Below are 21,829 nucleotides of genomic sequence, written 5' to 3'. Positions count from 1 at the left end.
GCTCTCTTTTGGTTGTTATTTGCATGGAATGTCTTTTACTATTCTTTCACTTTCAGTTTATTTGTGTCTTTAGATCTAAAGCGAACCTTTTTTAGATAACCAGTATTTGGATCATTTTTTAAAAATTATTATGTCCATCTATGTCTTTTTGATCCAGGAGTTTAATCCATTTACACTTGAGGTAAGTAGTGATAAATAAGGATTTACTTCTGCCATTTTGTGTTTTCCTTTTTCATTTTGTTCATTATTTTGTTCATTATTTCCTCCATTACTGCTTTCTTTTGTGTTTGGTTAATTTTTTGCAGTGACATATTTTGATTCCCATCTCACTTTCATTTTTGTATATTCTATATTTTCTTTGTGGTTATCATGGAGATTACATATAACATCCTAAAGTTATGAGAGTCTTACTTGAATTGATGTGAACTTAACTTCAGTTGCATACAAAAATTCTACTCTTCCACAGCTCCATTCCCCTGTATATTATGTGGTGACTCTGTTACAATTATTGATATCACAAATTACATTTTTATACATGTCGTGAATGGTAACATATATTCATAATTGTATTTTATGCTTTTGTCTTTTAAATCCTAAAGAAAGTAAAAAGTGAGGTTATGAAACAAAATTTTGTGATACTAGGTTTTATATTTGCCCCTGTATGTATCTCTTCTAGGAGATCTTTATTTCTTTATATGGCTTTGAGTTACTTCTAGCATCCTTTCATTTCAACCCAAAGACTTCCCTGTAGGAAGCATTTTTTATAGGGCAGGTCTAGTTTTAACAAATTCATTTGGCTTAGGAGTGTCTTAACTTGTTCCTCTATTTTGAAGGATAATTTTGCTGGGTATAGAATCCTCAGCTGATGCCTGGCACAGTAGCTCACCCCTGTAATCCCAGCACTTTGGGAGACCGAGGCGGGAGGATCACTTGAGGCCAGGAGCTTAAGACCAGACTGGGCAACATAGTGAGACCTTGTCTTTACAAAAAATTAAAAAATTATCTGGATGTGGTGGCACACACTTGTGGTCTAAGCTACTTGAGAGGTTGGAGGATTGCTTTAGCCAGGGGTTCGAGGATACAGTAAGCTATGATTATGCCATTGTACTATAGCCTGGATGACAGAGTGAGATGCTGTGTCTATTTTTTAAAAAAGAAAAAAGAATCCTCAGCTAACTTTTTTTTTCATTCATCACTTTGAAATATATTGTCACACTGCCTTCTGGCCTCTAAAGTTTTTGATGAGAAATTAGGTGATGATCTTATTGAAGTTTTTTTGTATGTGTTGACTTGCTTCTCTCTTGCTGCTTTCAATATTCTCTTTGTCTTTGGCCTTCGACAGTTTGTGTGTAATGTGTTTTGATCTATACGTATTTGAGTTTATCCCAGTTTGAGTTCATTCCTGTATTTGTAGATTTAAGTCTCTCTCCTTCAATTTGGGAAGTTTTCCACAATTATTTCATCAAATAATTGTTGCTTCTTTCTTTTTCTTTTCTCCTTCTGTGACTCTCGTAATACATAAGATGTTCTTCATGATGGTTTCCCTCCCATCCCTTTTTGTTTCTTCACTTTAGTTTTTTTTTTTCCCTTTTTGATCTTCGGACTTGAGGATTTCAGTTAATATCTTCATATTCACTGATTCTTCTGCCTGCTCAAATCTGCTATTCATCCTCTTTTGATTGGGCCATATTTTCCTATTTGGCTGTATCTTTGTGATTTTTTTTAATACTTTAAGTTCTAGGGTACATGTGCACAATGTGCAGGTTTGTTACATAGGTATACATGTGCCATGTTGGTTTGCTGCACCCATCAACTCGTGTGATTTTTTAAAATTGCATATTGTGTATTTGACTGTTGTAACTTGGCAACTCTGCATATGAGGTTCTCTCCCTTTTCAAGGGTTTGCTGGGATTTTAAAATATATATAAATTGTAGTAGACCTATTGTTTTAAGACTCCCCCACATTATTTTTTCAAAGAGTGTTCTTGTTGTGTGTCATCAGTAAAGTCTCTGTCCCTTTCATTCATGTTCAACTAATGTTTTGAAAGATTTTTTTGAACGTCTGCTGGGTGTGGTGGCTCACGCCCATAATCCCAGCACTTTGGGAGGCCAAGGCAGGCGGATCACCTGGATTCAGGAGTTCGAGACCAGCCTAGCCAACATGGTGAAATCCTATTTCTACTAAAAATACAAAAAATTTAGCCAGACATGGTGGCACGTGCCTGCAATCCCAGCTACTCGGGAGGCTGAGGCACAAGAATTGCTTGAACCCGGGAGGCAGAGGTTGCAGTGAGCCAAGATTGCGCCATTGCATTCCAGCCTGGGCGACAGAGCAAGACTCCATCTCAAAAAATAAAAGAAGGCTTTTTTTTTTTAATGCCTGCTCTCTCTGTTTGTAGATTGATTGTGCTGGTGCACTCCTTTAATCCATAACTAGGCTTCCACTAAACCTAAAGATAAGCCTGAGGGGAAAACTTAAGATTTTAATAAAGATCTTTTCTGAGCATGTATTTTACCTGGACACACATATGGCTTTCTGAATTATCCTATATACCTGGTTGCTTTTGAGTGTCCCAAATTTAAAAGTAGCTGCGTGTGGTGGCTCATACCTGTAGTCCCAGCAACTCTGGAGGCTGAGGTAGGAGGATAGCTTGAGCCCAGTTGTGTGAGGCCAGCCTGGGCAACATTGTGAGACCCTGTTTCTACAAAAATAAAGACTAGTTGGGCGTGGTGGTGCACACCTATAGTCCCAGCTACTTGGGCGGTTGAGGTGGCTAGATCGGTTGAGGTGGCTAGATCGGTTGAGGTGGCTGGATCAATTCAACCCAGGAGTTCAGTGCTGCAGTGAGCTATAATTACACCACAGCACTCCAGCCTTGGTGACAAAGCAAGACCCTGTATCTTGAAAAAAAAAATTCCAAAAGTGTCCTATCTCTAGCTATTTGGGCCTTAGGTGGTGTTTTGGGAGTGTTCCCCTGTAATGCCTTGCCCCAGGCCTGTAGTCACGTTGCAGTTGTTTTGTGTGTGTGTGTGTGTGTGTGTTTTAAAGCTGTTCTTGTTGTCCTTCTCACCAGAGCTCTGAGTTAGGTGAAGAAATGATGAGAGCCTTATGTCAGTCCTTCAAGTATCCTTCAGACAGGTTAGATAAAATTTACACAATAATTTGTAAATAACATCTGCTTTGCTCCCTCTGGTTTGTGGGAGGATACTGGGAAACAGGGTGCTGCTGCTTTGAGACTAAAACCTTCACCTTCTGGTAGGTGGTGGGGCAAGGACAAGTAAAAATGCTGTAAAACGTTCCTATTGTATTGAAGGTGACTTTTTTTCTTTTTCGTTATTTTAGAGACAGGGTCTTGCTATGTTGCCTGGGTTAGCCTCAAATTCTTGGGTTCAAGCGATTCTCCTGTCTAGGCCTAGTTGTTTGTACTACAGGCGGTCACCACCATGCCTGGCTAAGATGTTGTTTTCTTGATTGGGTATTTGCTTGGTTGCTGTAAACCTTTGACTGTGTTCCAGAGCTCTGACAAAGTTGGTTCAGAAAGTTTCTACTTGTTTACAAAATAGTTCTGTGTGGGAACTGGAGTTTGGAGCTTCCTAATCTATTGTTTTGTTGATATCTACATTTTCCCTTCTTTTTTTTTTTTGTTTTTTTTTTGGAGACAGTCTTACTCTGTCACCCAGCTTGGAATGATGCAGTAGCATGATCACTGTAGCCTGGAATTCCTGGGCTCAAGCAATTCTCCCACTTCAGCCTTCTGAGTAGCTAGAAGTACAGGAGCAAGCTAATCTCTTCATTTTTGAAAGTTGTTTTCCCTGGGTATAGAATTCTAAATTGATACTTTAAAAAAATCTCTTTAAAGATGTTACTTCTTTGTGACATTTTGTTTGTTATCTTTCTCCTTTTTCCTTCATCTTTGCTCCTCTGCATGTGCCTTTTATTTCTTGGAAAGATAGTCTTAAAAGATTTTTCAGTATTTTAAGATTTTCTGTTAATGTCTGGCTTTCGGAAATTGAAGATTTTTATTTTCTTTGTTTATCCTGCTCTGGGTTCCTTGAACTTGTTGGATCTGTGAGTTTATAGTTTCATCAAATTTTTGTTGGTTTGTTTTAGAGACAGGGTCTTACTCTGTTGCCCATGCTAGAGTGCAGTGGTACGATAATTGGTCACTGTAACCTCAAACTCCTGGGCTCAAGAGATACTCTTGCCTCAGCTTCTGGAGTGGCTAGGACTAGAGGCATGCCCTATTGCTAATTTTTAAACTTTTCGTAGAAACAAGGTCTTGCTATGTTGCCCAAGCTGGCCTCAAACTTGTGACCTCAAGTGATCCTCACACCTTGGCCTCCCAAAGATCTTGGATTACAGGTGTGAGCTACCATATCCAGCTTCCATCAAATTTTTGGAAAGTTCACATCATTATTTTTTGAAATAATTTTTTTCTGTTCTATTTTTCTTTGGGACTTATATATTATGCTCTTTAATATTGTTCCATAGGTTTCTTATTTTCCCCCCTCTGTTTCATTTTGGATAGTTTTTCTTGCTTTGTCTTCAATTTTGTTGATCTTTTCTTCTGCACTATTATGATATTAATCCACTTAGTGAATTACAGTGTACTATAATTTTCATCACTAGGAATTCCATTTAGTTTTTTGAAATATCTTCTATTTTTGTTTTCATTGTGTTCATGTTTTCAGTGTTTGGGCATTTTTTTTTTTTTTTTTTCTGAGATGGAGGCTCGCTCTATCACCCAGGCTGGAGTGCAGTGGTGCGATCTCTCTGCTCACTGGAACCTCCGCCTCCTGGGTTCAAGCGATTCTCCTGCCTCAGCCTCCTGAGTAGCTGGGACTACAGGCGTGTGCCACCATGCCCAGCTAATTTTTTATATATTTTTAGTAGAGACGAGGTTTCACCACGTTGCCCAGGCTGGTCTGAAACTCCTGAGCTCAAGCGATTCACCTACCTCTGCCTCCCAAAGTGCTGGGATTACAGGTGTGAGCCACCACACCCGGCCTATTTGGGCATTTTTAATCAGCTGTCTCACTTTACTTGTCTGCCTATTTCATTATTTCTGTTACTTCTTGTCCCATTTTTGTTGACTCTTTTTTCCCCTGGTTATTCTTCATATTTTTTTTCTTCTTGACAAACCTAGTAATGTTTTATTAAAAAGTTCAGTTTAATTTTGAAGCTTTTAAAAAAGCCTGGTTAATGCGTTTCTTCAATACTCTTTAATTTATGAATTGCTTTGACCCACTGCTAAGATTTGGTCTCTTCGTGGTCTCTACTGAATGCCCTGGGTTATAAACGAAGAGGCTACTGTGCCTCCTCTGAAATCGAATGCCTCCCAGCACCATGTGATCACTGGGAGCTGTTTAGCTCACAGCTTCTTGGTCATGCTCTGCCTGGCCTCACAAAGTTTCACTCCTCATGTGTGCATTTTAATGTTCAGCTATGACTCAAAGTGAATCCTGTCTTGATTTTGAGTTCTTTTTGTGTAGCTCTTTTTTCTTTGTAGTTCTGCCCCACAACTTCAGTCATCTCAGCCTGACCTTTGTTTCTTCAACTTGATATATCTCCAGTGCTCTCCTTGGGAATCCCTTTTCCCTGATCCTTCAGGCACCAATTCAAGGGGAATATAGGGGTCTTGTTGGTTTTCCTACTCTGAGGGATCAGGGTCCCGTGGTGTCTTTATTTAATGACTGAAAAAAATTTTTTTCATATATTTTGCCTACTTTTCTACTTGATTACAGCAGGAAGGTAAACCTGGTTCCTAATAAACCATCATGACTGGAAGCAGAAGTTTGGCTCAACCTTTTAATATTTTGGTCATATGATTTTTTTTCCTTTATTTTCCCTTCAATTCAGATATGGGAGATATTTCATGTCTGTATTTATTTTTACTACACCTTAAGTGATTATTTGTCCTAAGTTTTTCTCCTATTTCATTGCTGTGTATTTATCATTTTTTAAAATTTCAGCTTTTAGTTTAGATACGGGGTGGGGGGGTACATGTACAGGTTTGTTACTAGGTATATTGTGTGATGCTCAGGTTTGGGATGTGGATCCCATCACCGTGGTAGTGAACATAGTACCCAATAGTTGTTCAGCCTATGCCCTCTTCCTTCCCTCCCCCTCCAGTAGTTCATAGTGTCTATTGTTCCCATGTTGATGTCCATGTGTGCTCAGTGTTTAGTTCCCACTTGGGAGAACATGTGGTATTTGGTTTTCTGTTCCTATGTGAATTTGCTTAGATTTATAGCCTCCAGCTGCCTCCAAGTTGCTGTAGAGGACATGATTTTCTTCTTTATGGCTGCATAGTATTCCGTGGTGTATATGTACCACATTTTGTTTACCTAATCCACCATTCATGGTCACCTAGGCTGATTACATGTCTTTGCTATTGTGAATAGCATGGCAATGAACTTATGAGTACTTGTGTCTTTTTTGGAAGAATTATTTATTTTCCTTTGGGTATATACCCAGTATTATTAGTTAAATAAAGTTTCCTTATATTATAGCTTGAGTGCATAAACACATCTACTTAGTCACTAATAGGCAGATGATTTCTTTTTAACTTATCTCCTCCTACATTTAGGATGAAGATACACTAATCCTCAATCCTGAAGACAACACTTAATAACAAAAGTATCATCAAGTCACTGATGAACATATGGTTCAGAAATCTTAATTAAAGCCTTGTATATTAGTTTTTTTTATTGTGGCATTAAAATGTACCACACACTTAACCTCTTAAGACAAACTTATTTGTCTCACGGGTCAGGAAGTTGGGAATAGCTTAGTGAGCGTGGCTCTACTGGGTTTTCTGCTTAGTTTCCCACCAAGCCGAAATTAAGATGTTAACTAGAGTTTTGCTTTCATCTAAGACTTTGTATCCTTTTCCAACTCACTTGTTGGTAGAATTTAGTTCCTTTCAGTTATTACACTTAGGTCCTTAGCTACTAGAGTTCTCTCTCCACAACATGGCAGATTGTTTCATCTTTGAGATCAATAGAAAAGCATTTCAGTCATTTAAAGGGCTCACTTTAATTAGGTCAGGCTCACCTAGAATATCTCCCTTTTGATTAAATCAGAGTCAGCTTATTAGTGGGCCAATTATGCGAATGATAGCCCAATCATATTTACAGGTCTCAACCATACTCAGAAGGTGAGGGGATTATGCAGGGTGTTTATATCAGATGACGGTAATTCTGGGGCCATTTTAGGATTCTGTGTACCACACCTTGTAAACAGGACAAGACATTTAGGGAATTTTCCATTTTTATATAATGGCTTTACCCCAGTGATATGAAGCTACTACATATCCAGGCTAGGACACAGTAATAATTTAGTGAATACTTAGCCTATGCCAGATACTTTGCATACATTGCCTTATTCAGTCTCCAGAACAACCTTGTGGAAACTATTGATAATCATTCCCAGTTTGCAGATTCAGACACAGAAGCTAAGAGGGTTTAGGTAGCTTGATGAAATGGAATTTGGGTCTGAATGGCCTATGCTATTTTTACTTCACCACACTGTTTCTCAGCGTTAATCTTGGTTTGTATATCACAATTTTATGTAAGTACAATATCTATTCAGATAATTTACTGCAAATCTGTGACTTATTTGTAGTTTTTTGGATGTGACAATGATCGTATGGTTTTACAAAGAGGAAGTGTCCTTTTAAAGAGACATTTACAAACATTTTATAGATGACATTGCATATTTTCTTGTGTTCGCTTCAAAATGATTTGTGGGATCTGGGGAACTGGACAATGGGTAAAATGCTGTCAGTGAAACAAAACTGGCCTTAAGTTGATAATTTTCTTTTTCTTTTGAGACGGAGTCTCACTCTGTCGCCCAGGCTAGAGTGCAGTGGCGCAATCACGGCTCTCCGCAACCTCCACCTCTCAGGTTCAAGCGATTCTCCTGCCTCAGCCTCCTGAGTAGCTGGGACTATAGGCGCGCGCCACTGCGCTTGGCTAATTTTGTTGTTGTTATTGTATTTTTAGTAGAGATGGGATTTCACCATATTGACCAGGTTGGTCTCAAACTCCTGACCTCATGATCCACCCACCTTGGCCTCCCAAAGTGCTGGGATTACAGGCATGAGTGACCGTGCCCGGCCTTAAGTTGATAATTTTTGAAGCTGAGTGATGGGTAATAGGATTTATTATTCTCTTCCATCTACTTTTGTGTATGTTTGAAAATTTCTATATTGAACATTAACAAATTCATTTGTTAACTAGTTTTAATTGTAAATAAGAAAAAAGTGCCTAAAATTTTATTTCTTCACCATTGTAATTTTTGTTTTTTAATTTTTTTTTAAAGTTTTTTTTGTTTGTTTGTGTTTTTTTTTTTTTTTTTTTTGAGATGGAGCTTTGCTCTTTCACCCAGGCTGGAATGAAGTGGCACGATCTCGGCTCATTGCAACCTCCGCTGCCAGGTTCAATCCATTCTCCTGTCTCGGCCTCCAGAGTAGCTGGGATTACAGGCGCCCGCCACCAGCCTGGCTAATTTTTGTATATTTTGTAGAGACAGGGTTTCACCATGTTGGCCAGGCTGGTCTTGAACTCTTGACCTCAGGCGATCCATCCCCCTCAGCCTACCAAAGTGTTAGGATTATAGGAGTGAGCCACCGTGCCCAACTGCGTAATGTTTTTATGATTTTAAAATCACGAGTTTCTATTTTTTTTTCATGGAACCATAAAACTGTTTATCACAAGCATTTATTTTACTAAACTAGTATTTTGTAATGTTTAAGAGCATGGACTCGGGGGATCAACCCTCTGGGTAAATCTCAGTGTCATGATACTCAATAGTCGTATGACCTTGTGCAGGTTACTTTACTTCTCTGTCCCTCAGTTTTTTCATCTGTCAAATGGTAATACTTGTACCTATCTTGCGTAGTTACTGAATATACTATGTAACGGATAGAGATTAGGATAAGACAGCAAAAAATATATGCACACACACACTTGTTACCTGTGTGCATATATTATATCTACTTAAGTTTTATTCTAAATAAGGAGCTTGTGATAATTGTTTCCGTTTTGTAATTAGAAGGTATTATATGTTCCTATCATGATTTTTGAGCCTGTGGTTCTGAAACCAGTGTTTCTAAATATTTTTTTCTTTTCACATCATGTATTTACAGTGTTTTTCAGTGGTAGTCATGTTGACATCCTGAGTCGCACAGTTCTTGTTTGGGACTGTCTTCTTCCTCCTCCTTCCTTCTTCCTCCTTCTTCTTTCTTCTTCCTCCTCCTTCCTCCTCCTTCCTTCTTCTTCCTCCTCCTTCTTCCTCCTTCCTCCTCCTTCCTTCTTCTTCCTTCTTCTTTTTTCTTCCTCCTCCTTCCTCCTTCTTCCTTCTCCTTCCTCCTTCCTTCTTCCTTCTTCCTTCTTCTTCTTCTTTCTTCTTCTTCCTCCTCCTCCTCCCTCCTCCTCCCTCCTTCCTCCTCCTTCCACCTCCTTCCTCCTTCCTGCTTCCTCCTCCTCCTCCTTCTTCCTTCTCCTTCTTCTTCCTTCTTTCTTCTTTTTTTTTTTTTGGCATAGCAACCAACAACAGGGAACACTGCTTTTTTCACAACTCTGTGTAATAAATGTTGTTGAAATATCCAGGGTGAGATCTGTTGAGCTAAATTACTGACATTATCAGAGTGATTTAAAATTTTTTGGAGAGTTTTGATTTTAGAAGACATAAAACCCTGGGCTCTGTCCTGGCTTTATTGAAGCAAAATAGTAGTGTATTAGTTCTGAGATTGGGTAATTTATAAAGAAAAGAGTTTTCATTGACTCACGGTTTTGCAGGCTGTGCAGGAAATATAGTGGCTTCTGCTTCCGGGGAGGCCTCAGGAAGCTTCCAATCATGGCAGAAAGCAAAGGGGGAGTGAGGCACCTCACATGGTGGGAGCAGGAGCAAGAGAGTGAGGGAGAGGTGCTGCACAGTTTTAAACAACTGGATCTTGTGAGAACTCGCTCACTGTCACAAGAATAGCACCAAAGGGGATGGTGTTAAACCATTCATGAGAAATCCACCTTCATGATCCAGCCACCTCCCACCAGGCCCCACCTCCAACATTGGGGATTACAATTAACATGAGATTTGGTGGGGACACAGATCCAAATCATACCAATTGGATTTGTGGTGTGGGAGTAAATGTGTCTATATTTTGGAAAATCTCCCTTGGTAAGACTGACCATTGCTTGAATGATTTCTTTGAGCTTAACTATCAACAACTCCTTTTCTTGTAGGTGATAGAAATTGAAGATGCTTCACCCACCAAGTGTCCAATAACAACCAAGTTGGTTTTAGATGAAGATGAAGAAACCAAAGAACCTTTAGTGCAGGTTCATAGAAATATGGTTATCAAATTGAAACCCCATCAAGTAGATGGTAAGAAACTATTAGATGATTCAATAATTTTTAGTTAAATTTTTACCAATATTTGGGTGTGAGGCAGCTGCCTCACATCCTGCTAAGTCCTGGAGGTAAATTGGTGAGTGGGGTGGGGAATCCACAATTCCCCTGCCTTTATGGAGCTCATAAACAAATGAGGAAGAACAAAATTGGGTGATTTCAAACACAATGAGCGTTATAAAAAGAGAAAGAAGTGCTACTTACAAATGGGTAGATATAGCAAGTAGGTTTCACCTAATTAGCAAAGACTGGCCTAAGGGCAGCTAGGGGTTGGGAAGAGCTGTAGCTAGCTAAAAGCCTTTTTCAGAAAATGCTATTTCAGCATTTTTAGGTATGTTTTCTTTATTAGAGTTGAATCAGTAAGTCAGTTTTGAGTGTTTATGTGAATTAATCATAAGGGAGGTTCTGTAGTTCCTACCTTTTGAGTTGCTAGTCCCCTTTCTTGCTCAGTGTTTACTATCGAATAAAGGAAAAGATGATGAAATTATCTCATGGGTTTTTTTTTCCTGATTGACTCAATAAACTCAAAGGTATTTTTGATAGGAAGCCATTCTCTTTTTGGATAAAGTTGCTCTCTTTTTACAAAAATTATTATTATTATTTTTTGAGATGGAGTCTCGCTCTGTCACTCAGGCTGGAGTACAGTGGTGCTATAACAGCTCACTGCAATCTCTGCCTCCTGGCCTCAAGTGATTCTCCCAACTCAGCCTCCTGAGTATCTGGGACTACAGGTGCACACCACCACCACGCCCAGCTAATTTTTTGTATTTTAGTAGAGACGGGGTTTCACCATGTTGGCCAGGCTGGTCTCGAACTCCTGACCTCAAGTGATCTACCCGCCTCGGCCTTCCAAAGTGCTTGGATTACAGGCGTGAGCCACTGTGCCCGGCCACGTTTCTCTTTTAGAGTATTCTTATGTTTCTTTGAACCATCTCAGGGAATACAGAACATCTACTGTGGATAGCTTAGAGAAGATGAAGGAAAGTCCCCCTGTTCTATGTTTGTGTTAACTTGTTTCTGCTTTAGTTTGGTGGGAAAAAATCCCATTTAGATGTAAGAAATTATTTAGCTAAGTGTTTTTTTAATGCTGTTTCTTAGAAGTTTTGGTTATGTTTTTGATGTGTTTATGTAAAGGAAGTTTTTAACTTGGACCTTTAAATTTAACTTAATGAAGCTGTTATTTTTAGGTGTTCAGTTTATGTGGGATTGCTGCTGTGAGTCTGTGAAAAAAACAAAGAAATCTCCAGGTTCAGGATGCATTCTTGCCCACTGTATGGGCCTTGGTAAGACTTTACAGGTAAGAGCTGAAGAATATGAAGGTATCCTGTTTTTGTGGATTCATTAATATATATTGGATTCTATTATGTTTCAGGCACAGTCGTAGGGGCTGAAGATAAAGCAGTGAACAAGAATAACAAGATCTGTCTCCAAGGAGCTTATATTCTAGTGGAGGAGAGAGCTGCTAATCAAATAAGAAATATGTACTTTCAGAAAATGAATGTTAAGGGAGGATATTGAGTTAGGAAAGGCATCTTTTAGGAGGTAATGTTTGAGCAGAGGTCCTAATGAAGCGAGGCTGTGGGGTTTCAGGTATGGCCAACAACAACTGCAAAGATTCTAAGGTAGAAATTACCTTTTTTTTTTTTTTTTTTTTTTTTACAACTTTTAACGGTTTATGATGTTAAAGTAATGACAAAGTAAAGTATCTTTTACTATTAAAATTGCTGCATTTCTAAATGGCAGGAGTTGTAGCAGAGATGTAAAATTGGTGAATGTATTTGTACTTTTAAACCATAAAGTAATTATAGATTTAATGGGTCAGAACACATTAAAGTGGAAAAATATTATGTAACATGATTCTCTTCTAAATGAGCGATGGTATTTTTTGAAAGACTATAGGGACATTCTGTGGAGACCTAGGACTTAGTATTGGTATGGGATCATTTTATACTATTCACATTGATCATAGAATCATGGAGCTTTAGAGTTGGAAGAGCCTGATACATCATCTAGTTGAACTTTGGCATTTTACTATCTCTTTCCCTGTGCCTTGCCTGGTTTGGAAATTCTGGCCGTTTATTGTTTAAGCAAAACAAAGCTATAATATTGTAAGATTGCTTAATTTATTAAATTTTTTTGTGGATATTTAAACGAAGGTGACAATCTGTTTTCTTATAGGTGGTAAGTTTTCTTCATACAGTTCTTTTGTGTGACAAACTGGATTTCAGCACGGCGTTAGTGGTTTGTCCTCTTAATACTGCTTTGAATTGGATGAATGAATTTGAGAAGTGGCAAGAGGGATTAAAAGATGATGAGAAGCTTGAGGTAACTTATTTTAAATGTTTTCTATTATTAAAATAGTCACATGAAATTCATATAGTAAACTATTTTTAATTTTTTTTAATTTTTAATGTTTTTTAACCAGTGATGCATATTTCAGTGGGAATATTTAATATTCACATGTTTTTAGTAGCTACTTAAAAAAATCTTTATTTCCCCACAAAAGGTTTCTGAATTAGCAACTGTGAAACGTCCTCAGGAGAGAAGCTACATGCTGCAGAGGTGGCAAGAAGATGGTGGTGTTATGATCATAGGCTATGAGATGTATAGAAATCTTGCTCAAGGAAGGAATGTGAAGAGTCGGAAACTTAAAGAAATATTTAACAAAGCTTTGGTTGATCCAGGTAAGGTATTAATAGACAGTGACATAAAGAAGCAAGTTGAATAAAAAATGTGTTTATATTTTAACAAATAGTAATTGCACAGCTACTAAGTATCTGGTCTTTGTTGTGGTTATCCTTCAGGTTTTTGCCTTTTAGAAAATTCTTAGTATTTCAATAGAATAAAATCACCCTTAATGTCGCCAGCTGTTCAGAATTTATTTGCTGAGTCTGAAAGTGTTTAGGGTTTTAGGGGATACCTTGTAAACACTTAAAAATGCATCAAATGCCTGTGTTGCAATCAAAGATTCTTCCAGCTATCCAAATATTAGGTGATAACAAGAGCTCTCTCCATATCCTGAAAACAGTTTGTGTCTTTCCAAACTTCATGTCATTAGAAGAATTGCTGCTTGCTTATCTCCTTTTAAGGGGCCATCAGTATGAAAGGTTAATATTTTCAATACTGTTGATCCTTATGTGATAGTAATCTGATGTGAGAGCCAGATGTTGATATATTTGCCACTTGGAAAAGCAACACGTTGTACTGTCTGCAAAACTAAAATTATTTTTTAATCTACGATTATTAATTTGTGCAACTTTTTCTTCATATGTTTATCTTGTCATATCATATTTAAGACACTATTGAGGTTTTATTTTTGTTGAGAAAGTCTGGGTAATTGTCATTGTCAAAGTGATAGTAATCTTTAGAATCCTTGGCTTTGCCTCTTTTTTAAAGATAATGAGGTAGTTAATACATAGCAAAATAACTGCCATCACAAATCTAAGGCCTAATAATAAGTTTATCTCTTTCCCACGATTAAATAGGTGTTTATAAATCTTGTGGCTGGTTTATTGTTGAAAAATTATAAGCTAGTGTCTAGTATCATTGTAGCAGATTTTTTCCACAAGATTTCCTTGAAACTGTTTAATACAACAGTTTCAGGTGCTTAGTGTACTTATTTGTTCATGAAAAAAATGAAGAAAAAAAAAATTAAAGCTTCTAACATGAAGGGTAACATTTGTCATTGCCATATTTTATCATTTAGTGACATTTAAAAAAAATTTTTGGCCGGGCATGGTGGTGCACTCCTGTAGTCCCAGCTACTCAGGAGGCTGAGGCAGAAGAATCGCTCAAACCTGGGAGCTGGAGGTTCCAGTGAGCCAAGATTGTGCCACTGCACTCCCATCTGGGTGACAGAGCGAGACTCCATCTCAAAAATAAAAAACAAAAAAACAAAAAAAAACTTTTCATTTTGGAATAATTTTCTGTTTACATGAAAGTTGAAAAGGTAGTGCAGAGAGTTCCCATATACCCTACATCTGGTTCCTCAATTGTTAACATCTTACATTGCCATGGTAGATTTGTCAAAACTAAGAAATTGACACATTATTATTAATAACTTCAAACTGCATTTGTATTGCACCAGTTTTTCTATCCAGGGTTCTACATTGTATTTAGCTGTCATGTCTCTAACAGTCTTCTGGTCTATGACGGTTTCTCAATCTTTATTTTTTCATTATCTCATCAGTCTTAAGGAGGACCGTCCAGGTAGATATCCTGTAGAGTGTTCTCTGATCTGAATTTATAGTTTTTCTTGTGATTAGACTGAGATTAGACTGAGGTTTTGAAAGAATATACCAGAGGTGACATACCCTTTTTGTCACATCATATCTCATATCGGGGGTACATGATAAGCACTTGCTGTTACTGATGATGTTAACTTTCATCACTTGGCTAGGGTAGAGTTTGTCAGGTTTCTCTCCTGTAGAGCTGCTACTTTTACCTGTCCCTCATCTGTTCATTGGAATCCAGTCACTCAATCTAGCCCACCTGAATGGGAGGATGGTGGAAATTAAGCTGTATCTCCTATAGTGGGTAATATCTACACATAAAATTTGGATTTTTTTAAAGAAAAAATTATCTTTTCTTACCCATTTATTTAGCCTTTGATTTATATAATTATATACTCATCTATTTTTAGTTCGTGCATTGGACTATAAACCATTACTGCATTTTTTTTTTTTTTTTGCTCAAATTGTTTCACTTTGACCATTGGGAGCTTTTTTTAAGGTGAGGTCCTCTACCCTTTGATATGTCCCTATCCTTTTGGCTTTGAGCACTTTATTACTTTCTGGCATTACAGGATGCTCCAGGTTCATGTTATATTGTCCTGGCCCCAGAATCAGCCATTTCTTGAAGACATCATGGTTCCTTTTACTGAAAATTGACATTTACAAATGTAAACACACCCATATAATTTGCAAATATATCCTTCCATTCTGTGAGTTGTCTTTTTACTTTTTTATATCATCTTTTCAGTACTAATCTTTAAAATTTTGATTACATTTAATTTACCTATTTTTTTCTTGTGTTGCTTTTGCATTTAGTGCATATCCAAGTATTCATTGCTTAATCGAAGGTCATGAATTTTTTCACCTGTGTTTTCTTATTTTATAGTTCTAGCTCTTGTATTTATGTTTATGATCTATTTTCAGTTTATTTTTGTATATGGCATGAGGTGGGAGTCCAACTTCATTTTTTGTATTTTGATATCCAGTTGTTCTAACACCATTTGTTGAAAAGACTATTCTTTCTTCATTGAAGAGTCTTGACACCATTGTTGAAAATCAATTGACCATAGATGTATGTGTTTATTTCTAGGCTCTCAATATTATTGTATTGATCTATATGTCTGTCCTTATGCCAGTGTGACATTGTTTTAATTACTGTAGCTTTGTGGTAAGTTTTGCAATCAGGAAGAAGTCCTACAGCTTTATTTTTCTGTCTCAAAGTTGTTTTGCTATTTGAGGTTCCTTGAAATTTCATTTGAATTTGATGATTGGCTTTTATATTTCCTCAAAGAAACTAGCTGGGATTCTGTTAGATATTGCATTGAATCTGTAGATTAATTTGAGGAATATTGCCATCTTAACAATATTAAATCTTCCCCTCCATGAACATCTAATTTCTCTCCGTTTATTTAGGTCTTTAATTTCTTTTAATAATGAAATTTGATTTAGGTCCTTTAATTTCTTTAGTGTAAAAGTCTTGGACTTATTTTCTTAAATTTATTCCTAAATATTTTATTCTTTTTGAGCCTTTTGGAAATAAAATTGTTTTAATTTTATTTTCAGATAATTCTTTGTTAGTGTATAGAAATACAACAGATTTTTGTATACTGATTCTGTATCCTGCAACTTAGTTGAGTCCATTTATAAGTTCTAATAGTTGTATGTGTGCGCTCACGCGTGTGTGTGCGCGCGCACGCACGCGATTTAGTTTTCTATTAAGAAAATCATAGTCTATGAGTAGAAATAGTTTTACTTTTTCCTTTCCAATATGAATATCTTCAACTTCTTTTTCTTGCCTAATTGCCCTTCTTAGAAATTTCCATACAATGTCGAACGTAAGTGGTCAGAGCAGTTGGTTGTCATGTTTTTGATCTCAGGGAAAGCTTTCAGTTCTCCACCATTAAGTATGACATTAGCTGTGGATTTCTAATAGGTGTCTTTTATCAGGTTGAGTAAGTTCTACATTGGGTTATATTTTTTGTTTGTTTTGATAATTAAAAAAATAAATACCTAGATTACCCTTGTTAAAACTTAAGAGGGGCTGGTTTCTCCATTAGGTTTTACTGGATGTTCTTCAGGAAACTGAAGCTCTACTTTTATTTTCTTTTCCAGAGTATATATAAGTATTAGAGATAGTTCCTCTGCCATAGCTGGGTAACCATCTGCAACAAGAATATTCTAATATCCATCATGTATAACATGGAATATATTAAAACTGTTGTTAAGTTTTAAGGTTTAGTGATAGTATCTAGATATAATTTTCTTTGCCACCTAAGTCTAAAGTGTCAGGATCTGTTCAGTACTTCTAAATTTATTAGAAGGGATCTGTTCAGTATAACACTTAATTTTCCAGTACATGTTTTCCATTTTATGCCCAATTTATCTTCTCTGATTTGGAACAAATTAGTGATAGTGAAGAATCATATAAATGGCAGCAGAGTATGTGAAGACTGAAGTTTGGGTGTAATGTTAAAGAAAAGTCTAAATTGAAGTTCAAGATGGAAACAAAATGTCAGAACCAGACAGTTTTGGGTATGAGATTCTTAAGGATGAGCTGAGGTTGTAAACTTATAAGGTAGGCTATTAGATCAGAAGCCTGGAAAATTGGGAGTATGTATTAGGATTGGAAACAGTGTTTAGAGCTGACCAGAGTTAAGATAGTAGTGTTCATCTTTCAACTTAGCTGCTCTGGTTATCTCTTCCTGCGTAACAATTATCCCAAGCCTTAGTAGCTTAAAGTGACAAGAATCAGCTGGGTGCAATGGCTCATACCTGTAATAACAATACTTTGGGAGGCCAAGGCAGGAGGATTGCTTGAGGCTGGGAGTTTGAGGCCAGCCTGGGCAACATAGTGAGACCCCATATCTACAAAAAAATAAAAGAATTAACCAGGTGTGGTGGCACACACCTGTAGTCTCAGCTATTCAGGAAGCTGACATGGGATGATTGCTTGAGTCCAGGAGTTCAAGGAAGCAGTGAACTATGATCACTGAGATCATAATCATCACAGAGTGTGAGACCCAGTTTCTTAAAAAAGAAAGTGACAACATTTTGTTAACTTTCCTAGTTTTACTGGGTCAGGGATTTAATAGAGGTTTACTTGGACAGTTCTAAACATTTTATCAACTTTTCTCTCTAATATCTTTATGGTTTTTTATGTAAAAAAATTCACCAATAGGTGGCAATGTAACACTGAAAAATAATTTGCATTTGTTACTATTATAATAGCATGTGACAAAACCTTTATTTGACCTTTCTTCCCTAACTTACCATTTGTTTTGAGGCATATTTTTCTACTTAATGTACTTAAACAATCTGGTGGAGTTTTCTAATTCACATTACTGTTTTTAGAAGAATGTTCCACATTTTGTAGCTTGAGAGGACATAATTTTTATGTGTGTGCATGAATGTGCATATGCACAGGATTAACTCAAGGTACTGTTTGCTTTAAGCAATAAGATATATCTATGTAATTTTATAAAATAATGACAGGTTTCCATAGTGTATTGAACCATCTTAAGTTAACAGACTCTTTTAGTCAGGCTTGAATTTTTGAACAGAAGAAATTTTCTTCAAGTCTTTCTCTAAATTCCTGTTCTTCTGCTCTCCAGAGCCTCATGGCTGCCATTCCCCCTGTAGTTTCTGTATAATTATTTATAAGTGTAGGTATTTTGAAACCCTCCTATCTGATATATATATGTCATTGTTTGGGAATTAAGTTTTCTAGAAAGTATATAAGGTAACAAACATTTCATTTTATGTAAGTATGTATGTATGTATTTAGGGGGCAGGGAGATGGGGATCTCATTCTGTTACCCAGGCTGGAGTGCAGTAGCATGATTATAGCTCACTGTAGCTTCAAATCCTGGGCTCAAGTGATCCTCCCAGTTCAGCCTTCTGAGGAGCTAAGACTACAGGAGTGTGCCGCCATGCCCAACTACATTTTTTTTTTTTTTTTTGGTAGAGACAGGGTCTTACTGTGTTGCCCAGGCTGGTCTCGAACTCCTGACAACACCTAGATAATTATTTGGAGATGAGGATCTCACTATGTTACCCAAGCTGGTCTCGAACTCCTGACACACAACTAATTTTTTGGAGACGAGGGTCTCGTTATGTTGCTTAGGTTAGTCTTGGCCTCCTGGCCTCAAGCAATCCTTCTGCCTCAGCCTCCTGAGTAGTAGCTGGCATTACAGGTGTGAGCCACCAAGTCCAGCTAAAACTTACTCCTTTCGAACATTAAAAATACTTATTTTTAATTTTTTATGTTAGTAAATGTTATATACATTTCTATCTTATAATTCATATTCTATTTAATATGATGAATAACATGTTTAATATATGAATAACAATTTTAACTTTTTCATTGACTCAGGGTTATTAATGAGTGCATTTACTTTTATTTTTATTTTATTTAATTTTTTTTTTTGAGACGGAGTCTCACTCTGTCACCCAGGCTGGAGCGCAGTGGCGCGATCTCGGCTCACTGCGAGCTCCGCCTCCCGGGTTCACGCCATTCTCCTGCCTCAGCCTCCCGAGTAGCTGGGACTACAGGCGCCTGCCACCACGCCTGGCTAATTTTTTTTTCTTGTATTTTTTTAGTGGAAACGGGGTTTCACCGTGTTAGCCAGGATGGTCTCTATCTCCTGACCTCGTGATCCGCCCGTCTTGGCCTGCCAAAGTGCTGGGATTACAGGCGTGAGCCACCGCGCCTGGCTTACTTTTATTCTTAATTCTTCTAGTTCTTCAGATATCCGTACTAACCATAGGGCTACCACTCTCCTTCCATTGCCATGCCAACAAATAGTTCTTTTAAGTTAAAGAAATTATAAAAGTAATACATATCCTTAAGCAAAATAAAAACAGAAGAAAATGTTGTATATTGAAAAGTAAAAGTTCCCTACCTCCTAGTCTCATTATTGTTTCATTTATATCCGTATAGGAATTTTTTGTGCTTACAGAAGCATGTATTCTCCTTATTTGGTATTGCAACATTTAGGTGGTCCTCAAAGCCACCCTCAGGCTTGGTAACTCATAAGAAGGACTCACAGAACTCAGAAAATCCATTAGACTCATGGTTATGGTTTATTACAGCAAAAATATACAAATGGGATCATAATATGGATAACTATTCTGCAACACACTCCTTTTTATTTAGTAATATATTTGTCATATCTTTCAAGGTTTGCACATAGAGATATACATCATTTTTTCAGATTATTTATTTTTCTATAAGTTATTGGGGTACAGGTGGTATTTGGTTACATGAGTAAGTTCTTTAGTGGTGATTTGTGAGATCCTGGTGCATCCATCACCCGAGCAGTATATGCTACACCATATATGTTGTCTTTTATCCCTTGCCCTCCTCCTACTCTTACCCCAAAGTCCCCAAAGTCCGTTGTGTCATTCTTATGCCTTTGTGTCCTCATAGCCTAGCTTCCACATATCAGTGAGAACATTTGATGTTTGCTTTTCTATTCCTGAGTTACTTCACTTAGAATAATAGTCCCAAGTCTCATCCAGGTAATTGCAAATACTGTTAATTCATTCCTTTTTATGGCTGTGTAGTATTCCATCATATATATATATATATATATATATATATATATATATATATATATATATATATATATGCCACAATTTCTTTATCCACTCATTCATTGATGGGCATTTGGGCTGGTTCCACAATTTTGCAACTGTGAATTGTGCTGCTATAAATATGCATGTGCAAATATCTTTTTTGAATAATGACTTCTTTTCCTCTGGGTAGATACACAGTAGTGGGATTGCTGGATCAAATTGTGGTTCTACTTTTAGTTCTTTAAGGAATCTCCACACTGTTTTCCATAGCGGCTGTACTAGTTTACATTCCTACCAGCAGTGTAGAAGTGTTCCCTGATTGCTGCATTCACACCAACATCTACTGTTTTTTGATTATGGCCATGCTTGCAGGAGTAAGGTGGTATCACATTGTGTTTTTGATTTGCATTTCACTGATCATTAGTGATGTTGAGCATTTTTTCATATGTTTGTTGGCTATTTGCATATCTTCTTTTGAGAATTGTCTGTTCATGTTCTTAGCCCACTTTGTGGTAAGATTGTTTGGTTTTTTTCTTACTGATTTGTTTGAGTTCATTGTAGATTCTGGATATTAGTCCTTTGTCAGATGTATAGATAGTGAAGATTTTCTCCCACTCCGTGGGTTGTCTGTTTACTCTGCTGACTGTTCCTTTTGCCATGCAAAAGCTCTTTAGTTTAATTAGGTCCCGGCTATTTATCTTTGTTTTTATTGCATTTGCTTTTGGGTTCTTGACCATGAAATCCTTGACTAAGCCAATGTCTAGAAGGGTTTTTCCAATCTCATCTTCTAGAATTTTTATAGTTTCAGGTCTTAGGTTTAAGTCCTTAATCCATCATGAGGTGATTTTTGTATAAGATGAGAGACGAAGATGCAGTTTAATTCTCCTACATGTGGGTAGCCAATTATCCCAGCACCATTTGTTGAAAAGGGTGTCTTTTCCCCACTTTATGTTTTTGTTTGCTTTGTCGAAGATTAGTTGGCTCTAAGTATTTGGGTTTATTTCTGAGTCCTCTATTCTGTTCCATTGGTCTGTGTGCTTATTTTTATACCAGTACCAAGCTTTTTTGGTGACTGTGGCCTTTACAGAATAGTTTGAAATCAGGTAGTGTGATGCCTCCAGATTTGTTCTTTTTGCTTAGTCTTGCTTTGGCTATGCGGGCTCTTTTTTGGTTCCATATGAATTTTAGAATTGTTTTTTCTAACTCTGAAGAATGATGGTGTTATTTTGATGGGGATTGCATTGAATTTGTAGATTGCTTTTGGCAGTATGGTCATTTTCACCATATTGATTCTACCCATTCATGAGCATGGGATGTGTTTCCATTTGTTTGTGTCGCCTATGATTTCTTTCAGCAGTGTTTTGTAGTTTTCCTTGTAGAGGTCTTTTGACTCCTTTGTTAGGTATATTCCTATCTTTCTTGTTTATTTATTTATTTATGTATTTATTTATGCAGCTATTGTAAAAGGGGTTGAGTTCTTGATTTGATTCTCCACTTGGTTGCTGTTGGTGTATAGAAGAGCTACTGATTTGTGTACATTAATCTTGTATCCGGAAACCTTGCTGAATTCTTTTATCAGTTCTAGGAGCTTTGTGGAGGAGTCCTT

The 21,829-nt window shown here is 37.1% G+C and overlaps 1 protein-coding gene across 11 annotated transcripts in view; it reads left to right on the top strand.

Moving 5' to 3' along the window:
* ATRX (ATRX chromatin remodeler) overlaps positions 1-21,829 on the top strand; it is a 281,337-nt gene that overhangs the window by 139,912 nt on the left and 119,596 nt on the right. For all 11 annotated transcript variants that reach the window (XM_005262156.5, XM_005262157.6, XM_006724666.5 and 8 more), the window contains 4 exons: positions 10,249-10,390; positions 11,602-11,711; positions 12,593-12,739; positions 12,921-13,098. In XM_005262156.5, coding sequence (XP_005262213.2) covers positions 10,249-10,390; positions 11,602-11,711; positions 12,593-12,739; positions 12,921-13,098 — 577 coding nt within the window. The remainder of the gene's footprint in view (positions 1-10,248; positions 10,391-11,601; positions 11,712-12,592; positions 12,740-12,920; positions 13,099-21,829) is intronic.

This window comes from Homo sapiens, chromosome X (genome assembly GCF_000001405.40).
Source record: "Homo sapiens chromosome X, GRCh38.p14 Primary Assembly".
NCBI classification, from domain to species: domain Eukaryota; kingdom Metazoa; phylum Chordata; class Mammalia; order Primates; family Hominidae; genus Homo; species Homo sapiens.
This window is presented reverse-complemented; position numbering and strand designations above follow the sequence as displayed.